We start from the raw sequence: 14,323 nt of genomic DNA, 5'->3' as shown, positions 1-14,323 counted from the left end.
GAAGAATATATAACATCAACTGCTTTTATGCAAAAATCCATTTTATACAGCTAGTACTGGATTAAAACAAAAAAATTATAAAGAAATAACATTTCTCATATTAAAAGTTATATGCTAGGAAAGATCAGATGGAGATAAGGACAAAAGGTATAGTATACTCAATGTTGACAATTTAATATTTAAACAGAACACAAATCACTTTTAATTTCATGGATATTTACCTTACATCAAGCACATCTCTAGCACCCAGCCCACATTCAGACGGTCTACAAGAGCATGTGTGTGGAAGGGCACTTAATCTACTCACTTTTGGCCGGGCGCAGTGGCTCACGCCTGTAATCCCAGCACTTTGGGAGGCTGAGGTGGGTGGATCACCTGAGGTCCGGAGTTCAAGACCAGCCTGACCAACATGGAGAAACCCCGTCTCTACTAAAAATACAAAATTAGCCAGGCGTGGTGGCACACGCCTGTAATCCCAGCTACTCCGGAGGCTGAGGCGGGAGAATGGCTTGAACCAGGGAGGCGGAGGTTGCTGTGAGCCGAGATCGCGCCATTGCACGCCAGCCTGGGCAACAAGAGCGAAACTCCGTCTCAAAAAAAAAAAAAATAGTAATAATAATAATAATAATAATCTACTCACTTTTACAAAAATATATCTGCCCATTTAGTCTTAAAGGCACAAGTGAATAAAATAACATTATTATGAAATACTGTTTGGGAAGTATAGAAAAATCTGTAGGACAGACTTGTACTAAAGTAATAATTAACGAGAGGTGGTTTACGAATAAATACTCCAGCTTAATTGACATCACAGAAACTATGGGAGTTTGTCTTTACCATTTCCTCTTGCCCAAACCAAGCTGGATATTTCCCGGGGTTAAATAACAGTTCTTGTTTATTTCTCCTAGATATGACACCTTTTGCAGTGTGTGGGGGTGGGGGTGGGGCGGTCAAACTAAAAATACATAAACCAATATAAAATGTAAACTGGTAGAGAGGCTTAAGATCTACTGTTTACTCTAGGGAAAGCACAGATTCAAACTTAAAAAAAAAAAAAAAGACCTCAATGACTTTCCTGATACAGAAAGGGAAAATTTTAATTGTTTTTCAACCCACCATTAGAGGGAACAAAAGATTAAAAATGTTGCTTTCAGGGTAATGTGTGTGCATACCCTCTCTTCCACATGTATTTGTCTTTGTTTCTCCCTCTCGAGGAGTGGGTGTGAGTATGTGTATGTGTGTGAGAGAGAGAGACAGCAAGAGAGCGCGAGGGATGTTTTTCCCTTCCTCCCTCAGTCTCGGTCACTCTATATCCCCTCTCCTTTTATGTCAGCCTGTCTCTCACACTCAGTAACTCATTTCTAAGCACTGATATTCAGAAACAAAGCATTTTATCAGGTTGTAGTCTGAGGCAAAGTGAATTATAAAAATAGTCACAAAGTGAGAAAAAGAATAAGAAATTATTTAATCATCAGCTGAAAATAGAAAAAATTAAAGCCAGAAACTTTCAGCTTTCCTTAAACTACCTAAACACATAAACATGCCATACACAAAATCTTAATAAACATAGTAGGTTCAATCTAACAGATTCATTTACAGAATTTTGAGCTAAATGCATCAGGACAGAAAAGACATTAAAAGTCAGTTTAATTAAGTAGTTAGCACTGGCTTTGGAGTCATAGCTCTGAATTTATATCCCAACACTGCTATCACTAACTGTACAATCTTGGGCAGGTTACCTGCTCTTGGTCTATCTTTTAATCTCTAAAATGAAACTAACAAGTTTGTTGTGAGGATGACACAGATAATTCTTGTATAACATTTAGCATGGTGGCACATATTGAGGGCTTCACATTTTATCTGAAACATCAGGTGCAGTGAACATCTATTATTCTTTTTGTCTGCTTGAACTTCTCCTGCCATATGATTTCAGAAGGTAAAACACTGGTTCTACAGCTTGGAGTTCTTGAGAACTCCACCCATCTTTTTTTTTTTTTGAGACACAGTCCCACTCTGTTGCCCAGGCTGGAGTGCAGTGGTGTGATTTAGCTCACTGCAACCTCCGCCTCCCAGGTTCAAATGATTCTCCTGCCTCAGCCTCCTAGGTAGCTGGGATTACAGGCACACACCAACACGCTTGGCTAAGTGTTGTATTTTTAGTAGAGATGGGGTTTCGCCATGTTGGCCAGGCTGGTCTAGAACTCCTGACCTCAGGTGATCCACCCACCTCAGCCTCCTAAAGTGCTGGGATTAAAGGCATGAGCCACTGCATCTGGCCATCCTCCCGTCTTATAATTGCAGAAGGTTAAACACTTTCCCACATGTCCCATACATCTAGGATACATGTTTTGCCAAACACACATGTGCATCCCAGAGTAGCGAATTAGTGAGCAGAAGCAGAGAGCAGAAGGAGCTCATTCTCACACTAATGGTGGAGCAGTTTCAGCAAGGTCAAGTCTGGGGCAGAGGTGGCAGCATTTAGAGTCATCCAGAGCCAGCAGTGTTGCTGGGACAGGTTGTGGCATCCATCCGTCTGTCTCTAGATGGTACTGGCATCCTCATGGGAATTATGCAATGTGATTTGGAGCATTGTTTCTGGTTGCTTAGCCCTGAATCTGGTTCTCCAACCCTCACAACAATTTGATAAGCCACTGAGCTCTACCCAATTTCCTTTTAAAACATATTTGATTTGGTTTTTACTAACCAAAAATTCTGATTGACATCATGCAGGGGCGAAATCTATTCTCACCTGCCTCACCCACACAGAAAAAAAAAAGCAATTTTCCATCTCTCCAAAGAAACTCAAAAAGTATTGTTTGCTTTTAACCAATGGATTTATCCTGGGAAGACTTCGAATTTTATTTTTATAAATTATAGATAATTATTTTCTTAATTTAGAAAGTGAGAAATATCTAGGCAGATTTAGATTTATTTCAAAGGAACACTGTCAAGGAGAAGTGATATCACAGGAAAACAACTCTATCCAAGGAGTAGCTTTCATTGAGGTAACAAATGATTCCACCATGCCTAAAACCAACCTATGTATTCCCAACAATTTTCTTCCCAGCAGGAGCTTTACACTTGAGGAGCCCCACCCCCAAGGGTCATTTTTAGGTCAAAAAATTTTTAATTATTATCAGAAAACCATATATATTCCTCTTTTGTTTAAAAAAATAACTCAGTAAAATATCTAAATAGCAAAACTATTCAATTCTCTGTTAAAATAGTGCATAGTAAGTCAGTGCCTCATTGTCACAGGCTAACGCACACTCCTCCTCCTCTGCCAGATTTCTCTGCAGGTCTATTTTACAGTTCAGTAATGCTTTTTCCAGTGTTCAGAATGTTACAGCTCAAATCTGTTAATTTTATTACTCATCAGTAAAAATGTTGATACAAGGTTTGTGGGGAGGCTGAAGCTTGGGGACTAGTTTCCCTATTCTCAGGAGCCAGTTACCATATGGGGTTGAAACTATGTTTTAATGAATAAAATATATATATATGAACAAAATCAAGCATAGTTTTTAAAAAGGTGATTGTTGACTGCCAACCTAAAAAAAAAGAGAGTTTAAAAAAGCAAATCTTTTCAGATTAAAATTTAGGAAAAAAGAAAGAAGAATTTGGAAAGGTATATTGTTGTTAATGTACATCCAATGTATTAAAAGGTCAAAAAAAAAAAACAAACTCCAAACTTTGCCAGAGATTTGGGGGCGGGAGGAGAAGTCACAGAATTTCAAGGTTCATGCTCATGCATTAGAGCTACATTACACCTTACAAGTGGCTGAGGCCTTGAGAGTTGAGCAACTTACCCAAGGAACTTATCTTCTGATTCCTAGCTGAATGATGTCATTAAGACATCTTCCTTTTGCCCTTCAAAATAAAGTTAACTGAAATGAAGTTAACTGAATACCATATGGCATGATTCCTGAATTTAAAATAACAAGAAAATACTAAATCCAAAGCAAGTGATTTCAACTGTTTGTATTCTTTTTAACATAACGTTCTGATTTATGATAATTCATAAATACTCTAGACCCATCAGTACAGAAAAAGCCATCAAGGAAAGTGAAAACTTTTTATAGTGTCTATAACTTCATTTCTAGGTAATGCCCGGGATGTGTTATAAAGTAAAATCATTTTTGCATATGTGCCAAGGGCTATTTCTTAACCATCAATTATAATATACAAGTTGTTATTTACTGCATGCCCTCAGAACATATACCTAAACACCATGAATTTAAGTGTATGCAACTCAACAAAAAAAATTCTTTTCTGGTCACAATCCACTCACCTTATAAAGATACCACAATCCCTTAGAAAAAAGTTCTTCTGCATTTGATTCTTATACTAAATGTAGTGTGAGCTTTCTACTCAAGGGAATAAAAGGAAAAAGTTCATACAAGATCCAGGTCTTCTTTCTTAAATGAGGCTTGCACAAATAAGTCTTACAAACTAGCTATATTTGTGTTTTATGAGAAGCCTAGAAGAAGCAGAGCTAAAAAGGTCCTAAGGCTAGCTCTGAATTACTACCCTGTTATAAAGAGTAATTTATGCTATGAAATAACAGTAACAGTCAAAATATTCCCCTCCCCCGCCAAAAAGAGATGAGCTAACAGACTCCTATTAAAATAAGGTGCAAGATCAAAAAGTACATGAAACCCAAAAGAGAACAGGGAGGGAGGGTGTGTATAAAGAGATAAAAGGTTTACAGCAAGGAAGGCAAACCTAAGACACATGTACTGCTATTTCTCGTCCTTCAAAATTGGCAGACACAGGTAACAGGTGACAGCTCTGTGGAGTCTGGCAAAGGCTTCAGAAACCTCTGTTACAAAGCAATGGGAGCTGTCAGATTAAATATAACACTGTCATCCCTGGTTGAGACTGACTGAACAAAAGCTGCAGAGAAAACTCATTAAACAGATAAAGAGTATAGAGAAAAACAGGAACAATAAGAGCAGCCAATATTTACTGAGGTATTTTTTGTTTTTAGGTTACATACATTGTTCATTTAATCCTCAAAACAAACTTCATAACTACTAACACTGTGCCCATTTTATAGATGGAAGAAAAGAAACAAGATTTACAGAATTTTCAATAACCAACTAGCCAGTCGTATATATAGTAAGAAATGGGGGCCCTAACACGGATATGAGCAGTTTACCATTCCTTTGTAATGGATCATAGAACTCAACGACTGACCTAATCCTCTATTCATCTCCATGTAAATCCACCAGTTCAGAGTTTTTTTAAAACAAAATTTTAATTAAGTAATATCACGTTTCTAATTGAAACTGTGGGAAATATAATGAATATACTAAAACTGATATTTTTATTGCTTTTATAATTAACAGTTTGATGAACACTTTCTACACACACTTCTGTACATTTTTATTCCATTTATAAAACATTATCAATGGAATTCTGGGTCAAAGAGTGTGCACACATTCAGCCGGAACATTTGATTTTATTACTACTGAAATGATGAAGAGATGATGGTCCCTTTAGGAAAACAACTGTGTCTTATTCTCCCTTGTGTCCAAAACATCTAGTACATAAGCAAGTATTCATTGACTGCTTAATGAATGATGGAGGTTTCCCTTCCCTTAGCACACAGTCTCTGAGGGGAGAATTAAATCCTGCAGGTTCTCAAATGAGAAGACAAATGATGCCAAATATCAAATTTACTGATGGGCTGCATAAAACCCTCCTCAGGGAGAAAAAAAGCACAAGTACTGGCACTGCCATTCAAAGTATCTCTATATGTTTAAAAGAGTTGGATACCTTATAGTATATTTAAAGAATACAGTATTTTAGTAGGTATGTAACACTGAAAGATACTACTTCTCCCAGTTTATTATCTAAATGGCACACTGTCCACGAAGATAATTTCAGAACATGTTCAAAGAGCTTCAAAGGGCTAAATCTTTTAAATACTAACTAGATTTTTCATTTTACATTGATTTTTATTCACAGGTACTAATGTTATTATAGCAGGTATCCCATAAAGATGAAAAACAGATTCACTATAAAGACAATGTGCAGGGTATTGAGCTAGCACTTTAGATGTATTAATTTAATGTTCACCACATTCCATGCTAGCTATTATTGTCTCTATTTCACAGGCAAAGAAACAGAAGATAAAGAAACTTGCTTGTTTCTTTGAACCAAGACATTCTGGCCACACGCCTAATCACTACACATTATTGACTCCAAGTAACAAGCAAAAGCAAATACAGTTTCTGGCACAGCTTTCAGTGGACATTAGTGATAAAGGGTACAATGACAATACGCTTGCCAGAAAATAGGGTGTTCAATCAATTTGGATGGATTATTTATTTAGTAAATAATTATTTATTATCTATCATGGGCCAAGAACTGTATCAGAATATGTATTTTTCAAACCTTGAAAACAGTTTAGGGAAGAAAGAGGCAGATCTTGTAATACAGATATCTAGCGTACAGAGACAGATGTAACGGAGACAGAATAAAATAGAATTATTCACAAGTGTCAAGACACAGAAGGAGTAATTAACTCTACCGAGGGCACTCAGAGAAGTTGCACAGAAAGGAAACAGCTCAATTGTAACTTGAATAACAGACTTTTAATGTGTCTGGCTATAAGTTTCTCTCTCAAAATCATTCTCCACAGATGGGTCAGGTTATCACTATGAAAAGTGCTGCAGCAGAAGCACAGAATATGGCTTAGGACAGCTGGCACCACATGAGGTATGCTAGGGAGAGAAAGAGGGGGCTAGAGATTGCCACAGATCTGCAGAATCAAACCCCTACAAACACAATAGAAGCCAGTGACAAGTCCATTTATCACACTTAATTTTATAGCTAACATGGCTGTTAAAATTGCCTTTGTTTGGCATACCTGTAAATTCCCAATAAATTCTTAATAAAATAAACCTAAATTTAAAAACAATAACAAAGGAATGAGGGCTGGGAGGGGAAAGGTGGATGTAAAGCATGACTGACCCTTCCTGAGACCTCGCTTTAAAAAGTTATAGGAGTTTTTAGAAGTATAAAGCCCATAAGGATGAGGAGAATTGGGAAAGACACAACAGCAAATGAGAGTCATCAACATCATTTTGGAAGCTAGAAAAGGAAAAGAATAACCTATCAAGACCAAGAAAGTTGAAACCTAAACCTGACAGGGAGAAGCCATCAGGAAGCAAGCTGATAAAGACAGAAAGTAGAATAATGGTTGCCAAGAGCTAGGGAGGGGGAAATGGGGAGTTACTGCTTAATGGGTGCTGAGTCTCAGCTGGAGATGATGAAAAAGTTCTGGAGATGAATAGTGGTGATTATTGCACACTAATGTACTTAATACCATGGAACTGTACACTTTAAAATGGTTGTAGCCGTAAATTTTGTTATTATATTTTACCACAATTTAACAAAAAAAGCAGCAGCAAGTTGACTCATGCTGGAAAGATTTAGGTATTGTAGGGACAGTGAAGACAAAACACAGGATGGGGCTGGAAACCATATGACTGGCTGAAAATTCTTATAAGTGGCCTCCCCCTGAAAACCAATCTTCTCCCTATCCCTGATAAGAGTCTGGAGATGCATCTCTGGAGAGGGTGAATGAGAGACCCCAATCTTAGGAACACAAGTCACAACTGAAGCAAGACAAAATGTCTTACTGAAAAAGAGGAAAATTATGTGAAATTCTGCTCAGGATGCAGTAGACTATCTCCCAGGAGAAAATGGAGATGACAGATTACTTAATGTGTCCAACCATATTAAGAGCTGTTTCAGATTTGTTAAATAATTGTAAATGAATTAATAACAAGAAAAAAATTTTAAACTGGGATAATTATCTGGAAAAACAAAATATAATTAGTGAATTTTGTGACTCAGTTGTGAAAAATATTTGCATAGTCTTAATAAACACTAAACTACCCCCAAAATCTGATACCCTATAAAGATGAGAAAAAGGGAAGTATGTATAAAAGCCTGTGGGCAGTAGAGAGATTAAGATAACTAATCTTCATCCTTCTTAGATGGAAGTCAGTAGCTACTATCTAAAATGAAAACCCAACAAAAAGCAGAATAACTGACTTAGAAAAATGAAGACAAATATCAGAACAAATAACTAAAAGAACGGAAACTGACTGCCTTGTAAAGATTGGTAATTGGAGGTGAAGAGAGATGGGGAACTGTTTTCATAAGCCTTGTAATACAATTTGACTTTTTAAACTACACATGTACAAATATCATTTTAATTTTAAAATACAAATTTAATTTAGAAAGGTAACCAGAAGATTTTGTTTAAAAGATCTAAAATTGTCTACAGAGTATACATTTTTTCCAACTATCATTATTAATTTCTGTTAATTCTTAGGACTTCCAGTAATAGTGAGGCCAATCATAATAGATGCCTTTCTTGTAGAACAATTCATTAACTGGTATGTCATTCACTAGAGAAATACTTTGGGAATGTAGCAATTCTAAAGCCTAACTGTTAAAAACCACTCCTTAAATGCCGTATTTTCTCTCTTTCTCCCTAAGAATAGATATTTGGATATATTTTATAAAAGCTTACATTATTTGCAACTCTTGGGTCAAATCCAAATTTTGACATTTTCAATGACTAGCATTTGTAAACACCAGCAATAGTAGAGTTGATTTAAGTCTGAATGTCAAATGATACAAATGGACAGACTGAAAGGCTACCTCACAGAAAAATACACACAGGAATAAATATGCAAAGAAAACAGTAAACAATCTTATTATCTTATCTGCAAGAACTGCAGCACTGCAGCAACTTTTTTTTTTTTTTTTTTTTTTTTTTTTTTGAGACGGGGTTTCGCTCTTGTTGCCCAGGCTGGAGTGCAATGGCGCGATCTCGGCTCACCACAACCTCTGCCTCCTGGGTTGAAGCAATTCTCCTGCCTCAGCCTCCTGAGTAGCTGGGATTACAGGCATGTGCCACCACACCCTGTTAATTTTGTATTTTTAGTAGAGACAGGGTTTCTCCATGTTGGTCAGGCTGGTCTTGAACTTTCGACCTAAGGTGATCCGCCCGCCTGGGCCTCCCAAAGTGCTGGGATTACAGGCGTGAGCCACCGGGCCCGGCTGCAACTTTTTAAGTACCATACTTAGGGGCACAAATTCATCAACTAAATATAATCGAATTAACATACTTCTACACAGTCAAAACCAAGAACCTCATCCAGAAAAGGAAAATGCTTAAAAACACAAGATTAAAACCATGAGATTAAAACTACATCACAGTCTATTAAATTTTTTAAAAATTAATGAAGTTCTTTTCATATGAAGAGAAAAGCTATGAGGCCTTGGTTTCCTTTCCCAGCAGTACTAATGGGCTCTGTTGATCTACAACACAGAGTTGCTGGATTTCATGTGTCAACTATAAAACAAATTTGCAAACAATTAAACAAGTATTATAAAAGCTTAAAAAGATTAAAATAATATTTGTCTTATTATTTACATTGCACACCCATATAACAGGACAGAAACATAGTCAGAGATATAACAACCAAAAAAAATGCCAAGTATTTATCACTGAGTGCCTATTATGTGTCGGAACATGACAGAAAGAAAGGCATACTCCTCCTGCACTCAAGGAGTTTGAAATTGACTAGTGTAGGAGAGGGGGTAAGAAGTATGTTGTAGTAGGGCTGTGTCTTAGTGTGTTTTTTGTTGCTTATTACAGAATACCTAAAACTGAGCAATTTATAAGATATGAAATTTATTTCTTACAGTTATGGAAGCAGGGAAGCCCAAGGTCGAGGGACCGCATTTGGTGAGAGCCTTCTTGGCTGGTGGGGTCTCTCTGCAGAGTCCTGAGGCAGCAGAGGGCATCACGTGGTGGGGCTGAGCATGCTAGCTCAGGTCTCTCTTCCTCTTCTTATAAAGCTACCAGTCCTATTCCCGTGATAACCCATTAATCCATTAATCCATGAATGTATTAATCTATTCATGAGGGCAGAGCCCTCATGACCTAACCACTTCTTAAAGGCTTTTCCTCTCAATATTGCCACATTGGGGATTAAGTTTCAACATGAGTTTTGGAGGGGACAAACATTCAAACCATAGAAGGCTGCCAATATTAAGACATTAAAACAATTCATGAACAATACAAAACAGAGAAATGACTAAGAAGTAAACTACGAAATTGTAAATTTAGAGAAGGGGAAGATAATAGAGGGCTTGAAAGAAGAAGTAGACACCGAACTGGATCTAAAAGAATCTTTCAAATGCTATAAAAGCATTTGAAAAGATAAGGGATATTAGGGAGAATGAGTACTCTCTCTCTCTGGATTTTGCTATATATTTAAATAATACGTTATCAGTCAGATGAGAAAAGAAAAGAAAAAAAACAGAATACATATCAGTACTTCCCAAATTTATCTGCCTAACTGTATTTGCGATATTATTCTAAAATACTGGATAAATTCAAGAGACTACTAAAAGTAATTATAGCTTATGAAGGATCCAGGATCAAACCAATTAAGTATTACAGGACCCAATTAAAACAAAATCAAATATAGTCTTTGGGGATATAGGGGAAAAAACAAAAAACAAAAAACAAAAACAAACCCCAACCAGACTTCTGGAACTCTTATTAACATTAAGACAATAAACTAAATTTTGAAACAATTCCCAGAAGTGTTAATGCTCAAAGTGACTCTTCCCCATGAACAGAAATTTATGCAATATAAGCATGTCTTGCAAGCCAACTCAAATAGTGTTCGGGTAAAAATAAAAAACATCCAAAGACAACTTTACTGTCTCATAATTTTTTAAAGCACTAGGAGAAATTTTTAGGTTAGTATAAAAACATTAAAGAAAACATGAAAATAAAAATAAGAGAAGAAAAACTAATGAAACACTTCTTGAACAAGAAATGGTGGTCGGGGGTGGATTGCAATCAACCAAAGGTGAAAATAACAGAAAAAAGACAAGGAACTCATGTGCAGAAACATTCTTGGAATCTGCATTGGAAACTAATCATACAAAGTAATCATCACAAAATGAGGTCCAATCTACTGGTTAAAAGCATAAAGAGCTTTTATGACATTTTTCCACGCAAACTCAATGTAGACTTTTCCTCCACTACAAATACACAAAAGGTTTGTGTTGGTGCAATTTACTATGCCTATTCTCAGCCCTAGGATATTTTTGTACCCAATCTCAAATTGGAAATGAGATGCTATCTGTCCTCAAAATGTCGAGTTATTGGCAGAAACATAGTTCCATGTCTAATATAACTTATATGCTGTACTACAAGTCTTTTAAGCGGTATTCTTTTTTAGATGTAAGACCACCTATACAGTTAAAATAATAAATCAAAACTTGTGGAACACATTATTTGCTGATGTAATAAAGCAAACATTTTCCCTAGTATGAGAATACCACCTTAGTGCTTATTTACCCTATTGCTAAACAGATTCTTATTATGTATATCCTTTATTTTATGGAATTAGTATTTCAAGGTTAGCTACACAGTGAATCCTACTATTCCACCACTGTAAAAGCAGAGAAATGTTCCACAGAACTATATTCCCAAAACATTAAGCCAAAAGTTGACTACTACAAAAGAAAGTTCACACTTCCTTTGCTTCCATTTCCTCATTTGCTAATATTAGGTACCATGTGATATTCAGTTTTTAGAAACAAAAACTGGAAATTAGAAGAGGCCAGGTACATTGGCTCACACCTGTTATCCCAGCACTTTGGGAGGCCAAGGTGGGAGGATCACTAGAGGCCAGAAGTTTGAGATCAGCCAAAGCAATATACTGAGACTCCATCTCTACAAATACAGTACAGTACAGTACAATACAATACAATACAAATTAGCCCAGCATGGTGGCATGTGCCTGTAGTCAGTTCCTGCTACTAAGGGAGGCTGAGGTGGGAAGATCACTTGAGCCTAGGGGTTTGAGGCTGCGCTAAGCTGTGATCACACCACTGTACTTCACCCTAGGTGACAGAATGAGACCCTGTCTATGGGGGATTAGGCTTCTACCACCAGATGCACAACTGTAAGCAACTTAAAAAGTGGGGAACTGGAAATAGTTGTCCATTTATTTCCATCAGGTTGTAATTCTACTTTGAGAAAGAAGGAAAAGTTATTTGTGTTTTTAAAGTTATCATAATGCACATTTTATGTTTAAAGCATACATTAAATAAAAAGAACATTATTAAATTATAATAATCTATGAGAAAAAATATATTTTTTATAATGGGATGCAACTGTTAACATAGCAGACTTATGTTATTTTCCCTCTATAATGTATATAAATATTCCTTGACTTGTGAAGGGATTACATCCCAATAAATCTATTGTGACGCCAAAAAATCAAAGGTAGCACCATTGTAAATCAGGGATCATCTGTACTTTGTTTTATTTGGTGTTCTTAAATAAACTCTCACTTCAGTCTCCTGGTTCTATGCTTTAAATTCCCTTAAAAACTTTTTATTTATTTTTTTAGATGGAGTCTCATTCTGTCACCCAGGCTGGAGTGTACTGGCATGATCTTGGCTCACTGCAACCTCCACCTCCTGGGTTCAAGCAATTCACCTGCCTCAGCTTCCCGAATAGCTGGGATTACAGGTGCCTGCCACCACACTGCATTCATTTCCCTCATATTTATAATTACCAGGCTGTATCTATTAATTTGCTTGCTGCTTGTCTCACTCATCGGAATGAAAGCTCCATCAGAACAGAGAGATGTCTCCTGTTCTCTGTTGAATACTTAGCACCTTAAAAACTGTCAGGTACATAGGCATGCAATAAACATTCTGTGTTTTTAGTAGAGACGGGGTTTCACCTTGTTGGACAGGCTGGTCTCAAATTCCTGACCTCAACTGATACACCCACCTCGGCTTCCCAAAGTGCTGGGATTACAAGCATGAGCCACCGGGCCCAGCCAAATTTTAAAAATCTGTAAAAGCAATTTAATACTAATTTTCATTTGGGATTTAAAAAATAAAAGCACTGGTGTTGTTCTCATTTCTATAAAATGGCTAAACTCTGCACCCCAGGGGTGATGTAGGGCATGAGAACCTACCCTTCCACTCTGCTTTCTTCTCCAAGCCATCATTCCCCATCTTACTCCTAGCACTGAAGAGGTAAATGCAAAGACACTATTTCACAACTTCAGCAGTTCCTACCAACTACTGCCCAAACTCCTCTCCACAGCCCAAAAGAATCTCCATTACCACCACGTAGAAGCTCATGGTCTCTGGTGATAGACAGATGTACAAAGGAGGGTTGCTAATGCTCCTCTTCACACACCACACACAAGAGGCGACTGCATCACTTACTGGCAGCCATGCAATGGGGACTGTCAGTAGTAGGCAGAATTCTAAGATCCAAAATCCCTGCTCCATGATGTATATACCCTGTAAAATCTCTAGGACTATGAATATGATGGGATTTTACTTTCATGATCAGGCTAACTTTAAGAAAATGGGATTATCCAGCTGGATAATCCTGAACTAACCTCAAAAATCCTTCAAACGTGGGTCTAGAAGACAGAAGTCAGAGAGACTGGTCGGTGAGAGATTAGACAAAAACGATATTCTCCATAGCTGGCTTTCAAAATGGAGGGGGGGCATATGGCAAAGAATAAAGGCAGCATCTATAAGCTGAGAGTGGCTCCCAGCTGACAGCCAACAAAGAAACAAGACGTCAGTCCTACAGCTGCAAGGAACTCAGTTCTGCCAATAATCTGAATGAGCTTAGAAGTGGATTCTTTGCCAGAGCCTATAGACAAGAAATCATCCCAGCTGACACCTCGATTTCAACCTTGTGATATCCTGAGCAGAGAATCTAGCCACATGTATCCAGATTTTTGATGTATAGAACTGTGGGTGCCACTGAATTTATGGTAATTTGTTATGTAGCAAAATTAATAAGGGACTCCTTGGAGGGAAAGGCTGTAGGCGGCAGCTGCTGCTGATGCTGATGCTGCTGCTGCTGCTAGAGTAGGTAGATTTACTTCTAGCTTCAGCAACACTTCCAACAGGAAGACCAGAGGCAGACTATAAATTTGCCTGGAAACTAAAGAAAGGTCATCATAATGGGGTACATAGCTTTGAAACCACACTGCATTCATTTCCCTCATATTTATAATTACCAGACTGTATGTATTAATTTGCTTGCTGCTCCTCTCACTTATCATAATGAAAGCTCCATCCGTACAGAGATTATGTCTCCTGTTCTCTGCGGAATACTGAGCACCTTAAAAAATGTCTGACACATAGGCATGCAATAAATATTTGCTGGATAAGCTGTCATCAACCAAAAATCACAGTGGCCGGGCATGGTGACTCACACCTATAA

General features: G+C 37.3%; 1 protein-coding gene and 1 non-coding gene across 15 annotated transcripts in view; both read right to left on the bottom strand.

The window, feature by feature from the left end:
- Nucleotides 1–14,323, bottom strand: part of FRS2 (fibroblast growth factor receptor substrate 2) — a 109,406-nt gene that overhangs the window by 62,965 nt on the left and 32,118 nt on the right. The gene's annotated exons all lie outside the window — the stretch shown is intronic.
- SNORA113 (small nucleolar RNA, H/ACA box 113) lies at nucleotides 1,236–1,389 on the bottom strand. The gene has a single exon (NR_145803.1). It is a non-coding gene; the product is annotated as a small nucleolar RNA, H/ACA box 113 (small nucleolar RNA).

The sequence above is a fragment of the Homo sapiens genome, chromosome 12 (assembly GCF_000001405.40).
Source record: "Homo sapiens chromosome 12, GRCh38.p14 Primary Assembly".
NCBI lineage: Eukaryota > Metazoa > Chordata > Mammalia > Primates > Hominidae > Homo > Homo sapiens.
This window is presented reverse-complemented; position numbering and strand designations above follow the sequence as displayed.